This window comes from Homo sapiens, chromosome 10 (genome assembly GCF_000001405.40).
Source record: "Homo sapiens chromosome 10, GRCh38.p14 Primary Assembly".
NCBI classification, from domain to species: domain Eukaryota; kingdom Metazoa; phylum Chordata; class Mammalia; order Primates; family Hominidae; genus Homo; species Homo sapiens.
Window position 1 is genome coordinate 102423246 of NC_000010.11, and position 14183 is coordinate 102437428.

The 14183-nt window shown below is 53.3% G+C and overlaps 1 protein-coding gene and 1 non-coding gene across 2 annotated transcripts, besides 5 other annotated features; one reads left to right on the plus strand and one right to left on the minus strand.

Annotated features, from left to right (window-relative positions):
- Positions 1 to 3: 3 nt before the first annotated feature.
- Positions 4 to 9329, minus strand: CUEDC2 (CUE domain containing 2). The gene is made up of 9 exons (NM_024040.3): positions 9281 to 9329; positions 1870 to 1953; positions 1404 to 1547; positions 1254 to 1315; positions 1019 to 1149; positions 751 to 933; positions 553 to 614; positions 412 to 472; positions 4 to 327 (listed from the first exon to the last, which is right to left on the minus strand). Exons 2-9 carry the CDS (start codon positions 1941 to 1943, stop codon positions 181 to 183), a joined length of 864 nt encoding a protein of 287 aa, NP_076945.2. The 5' UTR covers positions 1944 to 1953; positions 9281 to 9329; the 3' UTR covers positions 4 to 180.
- Positions 9294 to 9423: an enhancer, noted in NCBI's record as "active region_3935". NCBI's record gives its function as "activates an Ori minimal core promoter by ATAC-STARR-seq in GM12878 lymphoblastoid cells {active_cell/tissue: GM12878}" and the evidence as "EXISTENCE:reporter gene assay evidence [ECO:0000049][PMID:35858748]".
- Positions 9594 to 9763: an enhancer, noted in NCBI's record as "active region_3936". NCBI's record gives its function as "activates an Ori minimal core promoter by ATAC-STARR-seq in GM12878 lymphoblastoid cells {active_cell/tissue: GM12878}" and the evidence as "EXISTENCE:reporter gene assay evidence [ECO:0000049][PMID:35858748]".
- Positions 9594 to 10330: a biological region, named in NCBI's record as "H3K4me1 hESC enhancer GRCh37_chr10:104192697-104193332".
- Positions 9695 to 10330: an enhancer, noted in NCBI's record as "H3K4me1 hESC enhancer chr10:104192697-104193332 (GRCh37/hg19 assembly coordinates)". NCBI's record gives its function as "activates a minimal SCP1, AML or CMV promoter by ChIP-STARR-seq in primed H9 embryonic stem cells {active_cell/tissue: H9 hESC(primed)}" and the evidence as "EXISTENCE:reporter gene assay evidence [ECO:0000049][PMID:30033119]".
- Positions 10331 to 10964: an enhancer, noted in NCBI's record as "H3K4me1 hESC enhancer chr10:104193333-104193966 (GRCh37/hg19 assembly coordinates)". NCBI's record gives its function as "activates a minimal SCP1, AML or CMV promoter by ChIP-STARR-seq in primed H9 embryonic stem cells {active_cell/tissue: H9 hESC(primed)}" and the evidence as "EXISTENCE:reporter gene assay evidence [ECO:0000049][PMID:30033119]".
- Positions 13267 to 13339, plus strand: MIR146B (microRNA 146b). Its single transcript, NR_030169.1, has one exon. It is a non-coding gene; the product is annotated as a microRNA 146b (primary transcript).
- Positions 13340 to 14183: the final 844 nt, after the last annotated feature.

Here is a 14183-nt window from a genome sequence, read left to right on the forward strand (position 1 = left end):
ACCTTCCTTGGGCCACCTTTACTGTGCCCATGGAGGCAGCTCCGAGAGTAGGTTAACACTATGGAGCAAAGGAGTAGAGAAGGGGGACAGGAGTTAGGGGGCCCCTGTGTAGGGGTATAGGGCTCCTGCATCCCTCTGGGATCTGAGCCTAGAAGGCTCGGGCAGAGTCCGGCGAGTGCCTCAATGGAAGCGGTACTTTCTGGCTGGCTTGAGGTTGATGTATGTGGCCTTCATCTCCTCGGCCTCAGGGTTCCGCACATCTTTGAATCGCTCCCCTTTGGTGCTCACTACCTGGTTGTCGATGTATCGGATCAGCTTCTTGGGGGCCTGTCAGGCAATCAGCAGTGAGTGGCAGAAGCCAGGAGCCAGTCCCACCCATTCCGCATCCCCAGCAACCCTTAACTCTCTCACCTCCTTGGGAGCCATGGGCCGGTGAATCTTCTGATCCTCTGCGCTATCCACCATCATGTACCTGTCAAAAACTGGCTGGGTGAAGCTCCTGTCACCCTGGGAAGACCCTCTAGGGCCCAGCCCAGCCCAGCCCAGACTCACTTCTGCAGGATGAAGGACTTCAGCTCATCCTTTTGGGGGCCTCTGAGGCGTCTGGGCAGGTCCTGCAGAGAGGGGAGGCCTGGTCTAGGCCCAAGGGCACCAGCAGGGGAAACAGATGGGGATAGGTAGGGGTTGGGGCTTAACACCAAGGTGGAATGTAGCTGAGGCTACATGGTAGAGGGTGCTGGGAAAAGATACCTGGTTGGGGCCCTCCCAGGCTGCAGGCCCCTCTTCCTTTCCCTCTACCAGCATCTGCACAGCTTCTTCCAAGTCCCCCCGAGCTTTGGCCAGCACCCACTGGGCCTGCTCCACCGAACAGGTAGGGAACACCTCCAGGAGTACATCCACCCCTGGCAGAAGCTCCTCCTCAGCGCCAGTTGCCTAAGGGTACAAACGTTAACAAGAGGCAATACTCCCCCCTTTCCAGCCCCCTGGGTCCCTCATCGGTACCCTCCTCTACCAGTACCTCATCTTGGGTGTCTGCAGCAGCAGCAGCCGAAGACCTAGTCTCTTCTTTGAGCATTTCGGGCCGCTGCAGGGGCTCTGGGGAGATGGGCACCTGACCTTGGACACCAGAGCTCTGCGGTTGCAGGTTCTCTTAAAGAGGCAAAGAGAGCATCAGGTTTGCCAAGGCTCTGGGGAGCAGGCAGTTGGGGGAGCGGGATTATGAATCACTCAGGTGCCCAGAGCCCCAGACTCACCTTTGTTCCTGGCATCGCTCAGCTGCCCTGAGAGCTTCTGCATCATGTCCCCTATTGTGCCCCTGAAAAGATGAGGGCAGTGAGAGGATGACTCTGCCCACCCCATAATCAGCCAGCCCCTTCCTCCTCCTGGCCCTAGCCAGAACCTACCTGGGGATGTGGGCGAAGCCAGGCACATAGGCCTCCATCATCTCAGTGAAAGCCTCCATATCGAAGTTCTCCTCTGATGGGCCCGAGGGGCCCAGGTCCTCCAGGACCCCAAGCACATAGGAGAAGATGACCTCATCCAAGCCACTGCAGGAAGGGAACAGGACAAGCCCTGGGTAGGACACTGGATGCCTCCAGCACCCCCACCTATCCTGAGACTCCAGCCCTCAGCTTCATGGGGTCTATGAGCTAGACCTTTATCTTTAAGGCCAGAGAGTATAACCCCCTCCCTCAGAGCTATGGTTTCCCATCTGCCCAACAAAGGTGACAGGGACAGGATGAGAGGTAAGGCCTCTCAGCAAATCCTAGTCAGCCCTCCTGCTGTCTTTCCATCAGCCAGTACCCATAGTACTGCCCGGCAGCTCCAGCTCCAGCACTGACATGAGCCTTCCGGGGGACCCGTCTCTACCTGAGGTCGGCCTCCGGGAGGTGTGTCTGGACAAAGGCAAGGAGGGCTGCACTGACGATCCTCTCCAGCTCCATGCTCTCTCTTCTGAAGGGACACAGACAGGATGGCCAGGCCTTCTTCTGCCTGCCCCCACCCACTGGGCCTGGGGGCAGTGGCTCCTCCCTCCTGGCCTGCTATGGAACCATCTGTTGATGCTGCCCTCTCTGTTCCCCCAAGTAGAACCATGCCCCCTCCTCCGCCCATCTCACCTCCTTCAGCCTGAGACAGGACAGGGCACTGTGTCTGGAGACAGCCTCTAGAGGAGGCGCCCCCCCACCTCTCCCCACCCCCCTACCTCTCCCCACCCCCCTACCCCATTCCCCAGCAGCAGTCCCAGACCTTCTGACAAGGTCTTGGGGTCACATGCCTCCTGGCTCAGGAATCCCATCACTGAGGGAGCCCCTTGGCCCCCAAGTCCAATCACAAGGGGCCCCATTGTCCAGCCCCTCAAGGCTCAGCCTCAGGACCAAGCACAGCCCTTCCCCCACCCAGAACAGGCCACCCACCCTCTGCACAAAGGGGCTTTTCTGGCTCTGGGGCCCAGATAGAAGGGGAAGCCTTTCATGGATTCTCTCTTCTCGCCCAGTCCCTGCCCTTCCTGCAGCTTAGGACTATCTGCACAGCACTTTCCATCCTCCTCCCCAAGGCCTGAGGAGCCCACAGATCTGGCCCTCTCCCAGCTCTCCAGCCTCCCCAGTCCCTCCTCCCTAGCTTGCTCCCACCCCACCTTCTGTCCCTCAGACTTGCTGAGCTTCCTCCTGTCTGTGTCCTGCGGGACATCCATGGCTCGTCCAGTCACTCCTCAGGGCTCCGCTCAAATGTTACCTCCTCAGAGAGCCCTTCCCTGACTAACCTATGGCAAGTAAGTCTTCTCCATGCCCCTTAACCCTACATAGCACTTACTACCATTAACATTATTTTGTGCTTATTTGCCTATTGTCTGTCTGCCCCCATAAAATGGAAGCTCCAAAGCAAGGTGGGGATGAGGGGGACACTCTGTCTTATTCATGAGTGTAACCCTAGCACCTAGAAAAATGCCCATACTGGCTAGGTGCTGAATACATACCTGTTGACATGCTCCATTCCCATCTACATGCTTTTGACTCCCAAAAGTCTGTTTGGGAGTCAGGAGCATATGGGTGGTAATGAATGGCTCCAGACCCATAGGTCCAAATGCCAGCTCATCATCCCACTCAGAAGGCTCCGAGGCACCACCAGTTCCACGCACCTCACACTCATCATAGACTACTGATCTGCGCACATCCCCCTCCAAACACACATCTGCTTCATCAGCTGACACCACTCACTCAGCTGCCAAAGCTGAAACCTGGGGATTACCCTTGATTTTGCCCTCTTTCACCCCTACCAGTCAATCACCAAGTCTGTCAATTCTATTTCCTTCTTTCCTTCTTATCTGCATTGTATCCACTTCTCCCTATCCTGAGTCTGGCTTCTGCTCCAAAATCTCCACCAAAATTTCTTCTTTTTCTTTTTTTTAGGCAGGGTCTGGCTCTGTCACCCAGGCTGGAGTGCAGTGGTATGATCTCGGCTCACTGCAACCTCCATCTCCCCAGCTCAAGCCATCCTCCTGCCTTAGCCTCCGGAGTAGCTGGACTACAGGCACACACCACCTACTAGTTTTTTGTTGTTGTTGTTTGTTTGTTTGTTTTAGTAGAGATGCAGTTTTGCCATGTTTTGAGTCCAGGGTTCGAGACCCAGGCTGGTCTCGAACTCCTGGGCTCAAAGCAGTTCGCCCACCTCAGCCTCCCAAAGTGCTGGGATTACAGCCATGAGTCACCGTGCCCGGCCTCAAAATTTCTTAGACTGAGGTCATCAGTTACTTTTTCCAGGTTTTAGTCTAATTAGGTTGAACCATATGAGCTTGCCAATTTTGTCTGGTTTTGATCTACAAAAAAAAAGGGGGGAATTTCTCATGATTTCACCTTCTATTTGCCCTTTCAGCAGCTCCAACTTTGGTTTCTGAGATGCCATTCTTTCCTGGTTTCCTTCTACCTCTCTGGCCATTTCTTCGAAGGCCCTTTCTCTGTCCCCTTCTCTGCTCCCCTCTAAATGTGGGAGTTCCTCACATGCAAGGCTGCCTCTCCTTCTCACTGCAGCGCTCTCTCTCTCTCTGGAAGATCTCATCTGGGCCCACATCTTTATGTACCAATGCCATGTCATCAATTCCCAAATGTCCAGTCCTCTAGTCCAGTCTCCTCTGAGCTACAGGCTTGGACATCTACCTCTCTAACACTGCCACGTGTATGTTTTACAGGCATCTCACAGTTAGCGTGTCCCAAACTAATGTTCTCTCAAGTGCTTTACTCCTCCAAGGCCATTCTCAGTAAATGCATGTCCAGGCACCCGGCTGTTCCTGCCACAAATCTGGGAAATATCCTTGACACCATCCTACCCCTTGCTCTCCCTCATCCAATCAGTCGCCAAGCCCTAATCATTATCTCTTGCCACATCTATTTCTCTCCATCTCTACTCCCACTTTTCTCCATCTCTTGCCTGCAAGAACTTCCTAACCCTTCTCCCCACTCCATCTTCCCCCCAACAACCTATTCTCCACACCACAGCTGTGTGATCTTTACAAAAAAATCACATCTTTTCCTGCTTAAAATCTATCAATGCCTTCCTGCTACCCTTCAGGGAAGTCCAGAATCTTTTCATGGCTTTCCATTGCCGTCCTTACCCTGTCTATATCTCTCTCCAGCTTCACCATGCACCATACCTTCCTGGATCATTTCCCTCCCTCCACCCTGGCTTTGTTTTTTGTTTGTTTGTTTGTTTTGTTTTGTTTTTGAGACAGCCTCACTCTGTTGCCCAGGCTAGAGTGCAGTGGTGCCATCTTGGCTCACTGCAACCTCTGCCTCCTGGGTTCAAGCGATTCTCCTGCCTCAGCCTCCCGAGTAACTGGGATTACAGACATGTGCACCACACCTGGCTAATTTTTGTATTTCTAGTAGAGACAGGGTTTCACCATGTTGGCCAGGCAGGTCTTGAACTCCTGACCTCAGGTGATCCACCTGCCTTGGCCTCCCAAAGTGCTGGGATTACAGGCATGACAAAGCACCCGGCCCCACCCTGGCTTTCTTTCAGTTTGCTAACACTCAAACTCTTTCATGGCAAGGTAGTATACCCTCTGAGCCTTCTGCCTCATCATCTGAGTGGGACAATGAGCTGCCATTTGGACCTATGGGTCTGGAGCCATTCATTACCACCCACATGCTCCTGACTCCCAAACAGACTTTTGGGAGTTAAAAGCATGTAGATGGGAATGGAACATGTCAACAAGTATGTATTGAGCACCTAGCCAGCACGGGCATTTTTCTAGGTGCTAGGGTACACAAACTATTTCCTCTGCCTGGGCACCCTTCTGCCTCCACCCCTTCACTTACTGTCACTCTGATCTTTTGGGTCTCATTTTAAAATTCCCTTCCTTGGCTGGGCACGGTGCCTCATGCCTGTAATTCCAGCACTTTGGGAGGCTGAGGCAAGAGGATCGTTTGAGCTCAGGAGTTTAAGACCAGCCTCGGCAACATATCAAGACCCCATCTCTCTTTTTGTAGAAAAATATTTTTAGGCCAGGCACGGAGGCTCATGCCTGTAATCCCAGCACTTTGGGAGACCCAGGGGGTTGGATCACGAGGTCAGGAGATCAAGACCATCTTGGCTAACACAGTGAAACCCCGTCTCTACTAAAAATACAAAAATTAGCTGGGTGTGGTGGCACGCGCCTGTAGTCCCAGCTACTCAGGAGGCTGAGGCAGGAGAATGACATGAACCTGGGAGGCGGAGGTTGCAGTGAGCCGAGATTGCACCACTGCACTCCAGCCTGGACGACAGAGTGAGACTTTGTCTCAAAAAAAAAAAAAAAAGAAAAGAAAAATATTTTCAAATAAAAATAAAATAATTCCCTTCTTCCTCAAGGGACATCACCCCTGACCTAGAACTCATTTGGGCCCTGCCATATTACACTCTCTATGCAGGCTGCAAGTTTTCTGACTAGCAGCACCTTTCACAGCCATAATTATTATTTGGACAATGTTTAATGTTTCTTCCAGTTGTCTCATGAAGCAGGGACTAAACACCGGGCTGACATTCACCAGTGTATACTCAGCATCTCTCATGAAGTGGGCACTCAATAAACAGTTGAACCCCAATTTACCTATGAAGAAATGAAGTTCAGTGTGTTTAATGACTTGCCCAGAGTCACCTGGCTTGACTGCGGTAGTCAGATTTAAATCCAGGTCACCTAGTTCAGCATCTATTCTAGGGGCTACTCTGGGGAAGGGAGGATATCAAGACTTTCAAGTGGGTTGGGACAGGGCTACCTTCTATGCTTACAGTTGCCTGGTCCCGAGTGGTAACAGAGTTGCTCATAGCACAGGGGTCACTTTGGAAAGCAGGACTGAGAAGCCCCAGCCTACCAGGGGAATTCATACCACCTGCGCCAGAGCCCTCATGGGCCCTGAGGAAGAGCAGAATGGCTCAGCCCAGGCATACTAGATCCCATCATGCAGCTCCCTCAGGGTAGAACCGCCTCCAGGGACCTACCTCGACCCTGGGTTACATCACCCTCGAATCCTGGGCTGTCAGTTGCATGGTAGCCTCTGCCGGGACAAAGGCCCATGGCTGCTGCATGAAAGCCCAGTTTCTTTCTTTTTTTTTTTTTTTGAGACGGAGTTTCGCTCTTGTTGCCCAGGCTGGAGTGCAATGGTGTGAACCTGACAGGGTCAAGCAATTCTCCTGCCTCAGCCTCCTGAGTAGCTGGGATTACAGGCGCCTGCCACAACGCCCAGCTAATTTTTTGTATTTTTGGTAGAGACGGGGTTTCACCATGTTGGCCAGGCTGGTCTCGAACTCCTGACCTCAGGTGATCTGCCCACCTTGGCCTCCCAAAGTGCTGGGATTACAGGCATGAGCCACCTGTGTGGTGGTGACTGAAACTTGGCTGAAAGCCCAGGTTTTCTTTTTTTTTTTTTAATTTTATTTATTTATTTATTTATTTATTTATTTTACTTTTGAGACAGAGTTTCACTCTTGTTGCCCAGGCTAGAGTGCAATGGCGCGATCTTGGCTCACCGCAACCTCCACCTCCTGGGTTCAAGCGATTCTCCTGCCTCAGCCCTCCTGAGTAGCTGGGATTACAAGCATGTGCCACCATGCTCGGCTAATTTTGTATTTTTAGTAGAGACAGGGTTTCTCCATGTTGGTCAGGCTGGTCTCGAACTCCCGACCTCAGGTGATCTGCCCGCCTAGGCCTCCCAAAGTGCTGGGATTATAGGCGTGAGCCACCGTGCCCGGCCTGAGAGCCCAGTTTCTAGGGAAGAAGCTTCTCAGGGATGTGTCTCATGCTTCTGGGTTTTTAGCCAAGGCCTGGGGGCCAGGGAATTTTTAGGAAACTCTTCACTGTCCCCAAATAAAAAGACTTGCTCCCCTAAGCTTTTCTCTAGTTTGTATTCCAAGGGAACATCCTCCCTCCCTCCTCCTGTTTTTGGTCTACCCAAACTTCACCCAGGCTTCTAAGCTCTTTTACCCTTCCCCATCCCCGGTAGCCTTCCTAAGTACATCCTTCCTGCTCAGGGGCTCCTAATACTTCTCCCCGCATAGCCCCTGAGTTGGGGAAGATCTGGTCTGCCAGACTGGTTTCCTAAGTAGCACCTAAGCAGCCACCCTTCTCCAGGGTAAGAACATGATTTCCATGAGACATTTCAAATTCCAGATGTAGCCCACAGAACCCCATTGCTTCTTGGGGGCCGCAAATTAGAGATCATTGGTTGATGGTGTCTACCAAATGTGACTGTCATCCTGTCATGAGTCCTGCCTAAATGCCTCCGATGATGGTAATATTAGCATTTATTGCCTCTGCTTACGAGGCATTGTCCTAAGCACTTTTACATGTATTAACTTACCTAATCCTTACAATAACTCTAAAATGTAGATACTGTTATTCTCCCCATTTTATTTTATTTATTTTATTTATTTATGTATTTTTGAGACGGAGTCTCGCTCTGCCATCCAGGCTGGAGTGCAGTGGTGCGATCTCAGCTCACTGCAACCTCCACCTCCCTGGTTCAAGCAATTCCCCTGCCTCAGCCTCCTGAGTAGCTGGGATTACAGTCGCATGCCACCATGCCTGGCAAATTTATTTTGTATTTTTTAGTAGAGACGGGGTTTCACCATGTTGGCCAGACTGGTCTCGAACTCCTGACCTCAGGCAATCCACCCGCCTCGGTCTCCCAAAGTGCTGGGATTACAGGCATGAACCACCGCGCCCGGCCGTATTATCCACATTTTACCTGAAAGGAAATGAAGGCACTATGAGGTTAAGTAACTTGCCCAAGGTCACAAGGCAAGTTAATGGCAGATTTACACCCAGGCTGTCTGGATCCAGAACCCTCACTGTTAACCACCACACTACATCACCTCTCACGATGCAAATTGTGTGGCCCCATCCTATATTCTGAATCTCCTCTCCTGCCTGGCTGGCTATATTGTCTATTTCAGAATCTTTGCTCACACCACTCTCCCAGCCCAGAGCATCTGTCCCTCTGCCTCTCCAAATCTCATTCTGCAGGACTCCCTTTCTGCAGCCAACCCTAACTGCCCCACCTTCACTGCTCCCAGCTAGCCTGGGAGCTTCCCAAGGGCAGCACAGGCCTGGACCCTCCAGATGCTAGATAGAGACACTGTGGACAAATTTAAGTGAGAGTGGGGTAAGAAGTACTATGCTGCTCCCTTGGGGTGGGGAGGTGCTTAAAGTGGAGGGAGAGCAGGCCATGTGGGAGGAGGAATCCTGGGAGCTAGTGTGAAAGGAGTCCTAGCGAACTTCTCAGGGAGGCAGCAAGGGGTCTAGCATGGAAGGTCTTCACTGCTTCTCCCAGCCCCTGTGAAGCCCGGTTCCTGAGGCCCTGGACCCATAACGCAGGCCCCAGAGGATATCATTGTCCTCTGATACCCAAGTCAGACCTTAGAGGCACCAAGGGCATTGAGGGGAACAAGGGATCCCTGCATCCAAAGTCAGGCGGGAGCACAAACAGGGAGGGCGAGCACAGGAAGTGGGACCGCGATGATGGACGACCCCTGAAGCAGCAGCTCCCTAAACCCGCTAGCGGGACACCCGTAAGCGTCCAGAATAGTGGGCCCGAAGGCACAGGGATGCGGCTGTGGCCTTGGAGGACACATGACGAGGCAGGCCTGAGCAAACTGGATGTGCCTTGATACAGGCCACGGCGAGAATCAGAGATGGGGGTCCGACGGGCCCCGGGGGGGGTACCGTGGGGGAACACATCGGACGGGTACCCTGGGTCAGCGCTCTCCGCGACTCTCCTAGCCCTGGGCCGGGGGCAGGAGGGGAAATCACCTGCTCCGTCGGGCGCCGCCGGCGACTTGTCCCGCGCGGTGCAGCTCTCATCCCCCAGCCCCACCAACGAGATCAAAGGCGGGGCCCAGAGCGGTTCCCTTCCAGAGGCGCCGTGGCGGCCATGTTTGAGAAGGGCAAGTTGCCCACAACAGGGCGGAGCTCCTGCTCTAATTCTCTAACGTCCCAGGGCTATGGACGGGCTCCCTTGGCGGCCAGTTTTGTTGCGCGTAGGGAGGCGTTAGGCGTGAAGGTCTTGAGAGGGGGTGGAGTCGAAGTGGGTAGGACTGCATCCCCGTCTTGTTCCTTCTCATCCGTCAGAGACCCGAAACCTTTCTCTTTCTTTCTCTCTCTCTTTTTCTCGTCTCTCTCTCTCTCTCTCTCTCACTTTTTTTTCCTTTTCTTCTTCTTTTTTTTTTTTGGGAGGGAGCCTCGCACTGTCTCCCGGGCTGGAGTGCAGTGGCGCGATCTCGGCTCACTGCAACCTCCGCCTCCCGGGTTCAAGAGATTCTCCTGCCTCAGCCTCCCGAGTAGCTGGGATTACAGGCGCGCGCCACCACGCCCAGATAATTTATTGTATTTTTAGTAGAAACGGGGTTTCACCATGTTGGCCAGGCTGGTCTCAAACTCCTGACCTCGTGATTCGCCTGCCTCGGCCTCCCAAAGTGCTGGGATTACAGGCATGAGCCACCGCGCCTGGCCTCTTTTCTTTTCTTCTTTCTTTATTTTCCTTTCTTTCCCTCCCTCCCTTCCTTCCTTCTCTTTCTTTTTCTTCTTTTCTTGCTGTTACAGCCCCAGGCTGGAGTGCAGGTTCACGAGTGCGAACATGGCTCACTGCAGCCCCGACCTCCTGGGTTCAAGTGATCCTCCCATCTCAGCCTCTGGAGTAGCTGGAACCACAGGCGCGTGCCACCACGCCGAGCTAATTTTTTTTTTTTTTTTTTTTTTTGTAGAGACAGGGTTTTTGCCACGTGGCCCAGGCTGGTCTCTTAGGTACTGACTTCCCCACCCTGTCTGTACCTTTTGCATTCCCTTAACAGCAATGTCTCCCCTAGATTGGGGTGAGCTACAGGTCTGTGTCTCCGGAGGGTGGAGCCTGGGATTTTGGACGTGGTCTGGGAGAGGTGGAGTGGTAGCAGGTGCCAGGATGAGGATCCACCTGAGCCCTGTCATGGACAGCCTGTAGACCATGCCTACCCCCCGGGGCCTTCATCCCCCATGTTGGCAGGGCTGCTTGTCTAGGACAGGAGAGCTGAACTCCAGGGCCCAACAAGACTTCAACTTCCTCTTTTTGTTCCTGCTGCCACAGATTCCCGGTGCTGCCCTGTGGGGAAGCCCCACAGCCCTCCCCTCTTGGGAACCCTGAAATGGGTCACAAGGGGAAGAGTCCCCTTCAAGGATAAAATTTCCCATCCCCCATCAGCAGGGATGAGCCCTTTTTAGTGCTAGTTCCTTCGTGGGGTGCTGGGGACCCGGAAGCTGTCCCTGCCCTCAGGGAGCTCACAGTCCAAGAGAGAAGTCCCATCTTTCCTCTCTCCTAGGGACTAAGGCAGTGCCAAGATACTATGCTGCAGTGGCTCACACCTGTAATTCTAGCACTTTGCAAGGCTGAGGTGGGAGGATCGCTTGAGCCCAGGAATTTGAGACCAGCCTGGGCAACATGGCAAAACCTCGTCTCTACAAAAAATTTAAAAAATAAAAAATTATCTGGGCATGGTGACACACGCCAGTAGTCCCAGCTACTCCAGAGACTGAGGTGGGAGGATCATTTGAGCCCCAGAGGTCAAGGCTGCAGTAAGCCGTGATTGTGCTACTGCACTCCAGCCTGAGTGACAAAGCAAGACCCTGTCTCAAAAAAAAAAAAAAAAAAAAAAAAGAAGAAGAAAAGAAGGAGAAGGAAGAAGAAGAAACTATGGAGAAAACGGGATGACTGCTTATTGCTTTCTCTTCCACCTCTGGTCCTCACAACAGCCTCCTTCCTCTTCTGGCCTCAGAGACAGCAAGATGTTGGCTGCTTGGGGGAGGTAGCAGGGAAGGAAGGGGCACATTCGCGTCGCTTTGCCCATAAAAACACTGCCACTCCAGCCTGGTGATACTAGGGTTAATGAGGGGTGGGGTGACAGCGACTTTGAACTCTGGCCGGGCAGGCCCCTAGGAAGGGGGTGATGGGCAGCCCACAGCCCCAGGCCTTTGCCTGTCCTCCAGAGACCAGCCATCCCTTTCCTCCCCCGTCCCCTTTCCTGCTTCCCCCTGTCCATTGCACAATACTGATGACTCTTCTCTCCCTACCACCCTCCATTCCCGGAACTTTCAAGTTTCCTCAGTAGAGCTGCCCTGAGTTCTGGCCCAAGACCCCTGCAAGCCATTTCTGACTGTGTGCCTTCCCCTCTCCCCTATCCCCTGTTTGCTGGATGGCAGCTGCATGTGACTTGGTATCAGAAAGAACTTCCTGAGCTTTCAAGGGAGGAGGATGGAAAAGACTTCTTAGGGGGAGTCCCTCCTTTCCCAACTCAAACTCTGGGGAGTCCCAGCTCTGTGCAGCAGGAGTCAAGTTCTGGGGGGTCGAGGACAGAAGGTGGGCTGAGGAGAGGGAACCCCACAGACACAAGGACACACACATACTGTAAGGTAGGGGCTCCCGGGATCCCTGCCCTGAGGGATTCTGAAGCTGGCTGGAACTTCAGCCCCTGATTTTCTTTCCCCTCAGGTCTCAGTCTCTCTCTCCCCAAAATGGGAACAGACTCCCCACTGCCCTTTGGTACTGCTTGAAGCGGCACAGAGCTAAAGGAGGCAGAGGGATGCCTTTTCACCGCCATTCCTTCCAGTGAATTTTGCAGCTGGTGTTTGGGTGCCTGGATCGCCTTAGCTGGTGGGAAAAGCTAGAAACCTACGCTGAGGCTTCCCCTAGCACCTCCATTCCCCATCATCCTGCTTCAAAATGAGAAACTGGACTTGAATTTGGCATAAAGGGCAGATTTTTCAGGCAGAGTAGAGAGAGAGCCCAGCGGGCTGGTCTCAAGGGGTGGGAAGAACTCAGTTAGAGACCAAGGTGAGGAAGGGGAGGCTTCAAAGAATGGCGGGGGCGGGGTCCCGCTCTGGCTTGAGGTTAGAAAGGGCTCTCTGGGCAGGGTTCCTGGCCCTCCCACACCTTCCTCCTTTCTCAGAAGAGCCAGCATGGGGCGGGGGCGGGAGGCGGCTGGGGCGGGGGTGGGGGCCTTATTTAAGGAGCACCGGCTGAGAACATCGTTGCAGATCCAGCCCCAGGAGCCATAGAGAGGAGGTTTCGTGGGTAAGTGGCTGTCCCTCTCTCTGGATTCAAGCAGGGGTCGGGATGGGGTGCCCCTGAGGCGCAGGCTTGGCTTTCCCTCTCTGGGATAGGCTGCAGCTTTGCCATGTGAGTGAGGGGAGCACCCAGCCCTCGGCTGAACTCTCCAGAAAATGAAAGTGTGCTTCAGGGAACTCTTTCTCCTCCACTCCACTATCCCAGGTACTTCAAATCTTTATTCAGGGTTTTGGGGAGATTTCTGGGGAGCTAGGACTCCTGGGCTGGGCTCCTATCTTGGGGATCCATATCTTGGGGACTCCCTTTAGCTCAGAAAGCCCCTTGGTTTGCATAGAGATGCCCTTCTCAGTGTGCGTGTTCTGGCTCTTTCCCCAGCCCCTCACCCCTCCAGCCCCACATCAGGCCCCACCAGGAACACATCTGGGCAGGAAGCGACAGATGGATCCCTGCCATGGCCCTGAGCCCCCTCCCCTCTTAACCTACTCCAATTCCTGTTGGAATTTATGGAACTCCTGTCCATTTCCTTAGCTGTGGGCCCCCATTTTCAGCTCCAAGCTCAGACCCTCCCTGGAATAGGAGTTCTCTTGGTATCACAAGTTCCTTATGTGACCCATCCTGGGCCTCAACTTACTCATCCTGGGAACGGGAGACGATTCACAGAAGAAAGCATGCAAGAGCAGCGTCCAGGCTGAAAGAACTTTGGCCACCTGGCACTGAGAACTGAATTCCATAGGCTGTGAGCTCTAGCAATGCCCTGTGGACTCAGTTCTGGTGCCCGGCAGTGCTACAACATCAATGCCAAGGCCGTGGGGCAGCTGATGGTTTGGGCTCCCAACTTCCCAGCCAGGTGCTTCTGCAGGCCCACATCTTGCCCACTGGCCAAACCTTTAAATAACTTTGACTCGGGCTACTCTTATGCTCAAAGACGTCAGGGGCTCTCCCAAATCTCTTTACCCTGCCAGAAAGTCTTCTATAGTACGGCCTCCACTTAGCTTTCACGCCTGATCTTCCATCGCATCCTGCTCATAACCTGCCACTAGTGAACCCCTGCTGCTCCGGCTCCACACTTCTCATGCTGGTCCTTCCTCAGTGCTCCTGGGGACACCTCTTGCCTGTCACTGTCTGTTGGAATCCTGGACATTCTTCAAAGCCTCTCTCAGATGCCTCTTCTTTTTTCCTTTTTATTTATTTTTTTTGGGATGGAGTCTCATTCTGTGGCCCAGGCTGGAGTGCAGTGGCGCAATATCAGCTCACTGCAACCTCCACCTCCCAGGTTTAAGTGATTCTCCTGCCTCAGCCTCCCCGAGTAGCTGGGACTACAGGCGTGTGCCAACACACCTGGCTAATTTTTTTTTTTTTTTTTTTTTTTTTGGAGACGGAGTCTTGTTCTGTTGCCCAGGCTGGAGTGTGGTGGTGCAATCTCGGCTCACTGCAACCTCTGCTTCCCGGGTTCAAGTGATTCTCCTGTCTCAGCCTCCCAAGTAGCTGGGATTATAGGCACACACCACCACGCCTGGCTGATTTTTTATTTTTAGTAGAGATGGGGTTTCACCAGGTTGGCCAGGCTGCTCTTGAACTCTCGACCTCAGGTGATCCGCCTGCCTTGGCCTACCAAAGTGCTGG

Coding starts and splice junctions, on each gene's coding strand:
- CUEDC2 (NM_024040.3), bottom strand. CDS start 1,943: ATGGAGCTGGAGAGGATCGTCAGTGCAGCCCTCCTTGCCTTTGTCCAG. Junction 1,548..1,869: donor CTCCCGGAGGCCGACCTCAG/GTAGAGACGGGT, acceptor CCCTTCCTGCAG/TGGCTTGGATGAGGTCATCT. Junction 1,316..1,403: donor GGCTTCGCCCACATCCCCAG/GTAGGTTCTGGC, acceptor TCATCTTTTCAG/GGGCACAATAGGGGACATGA.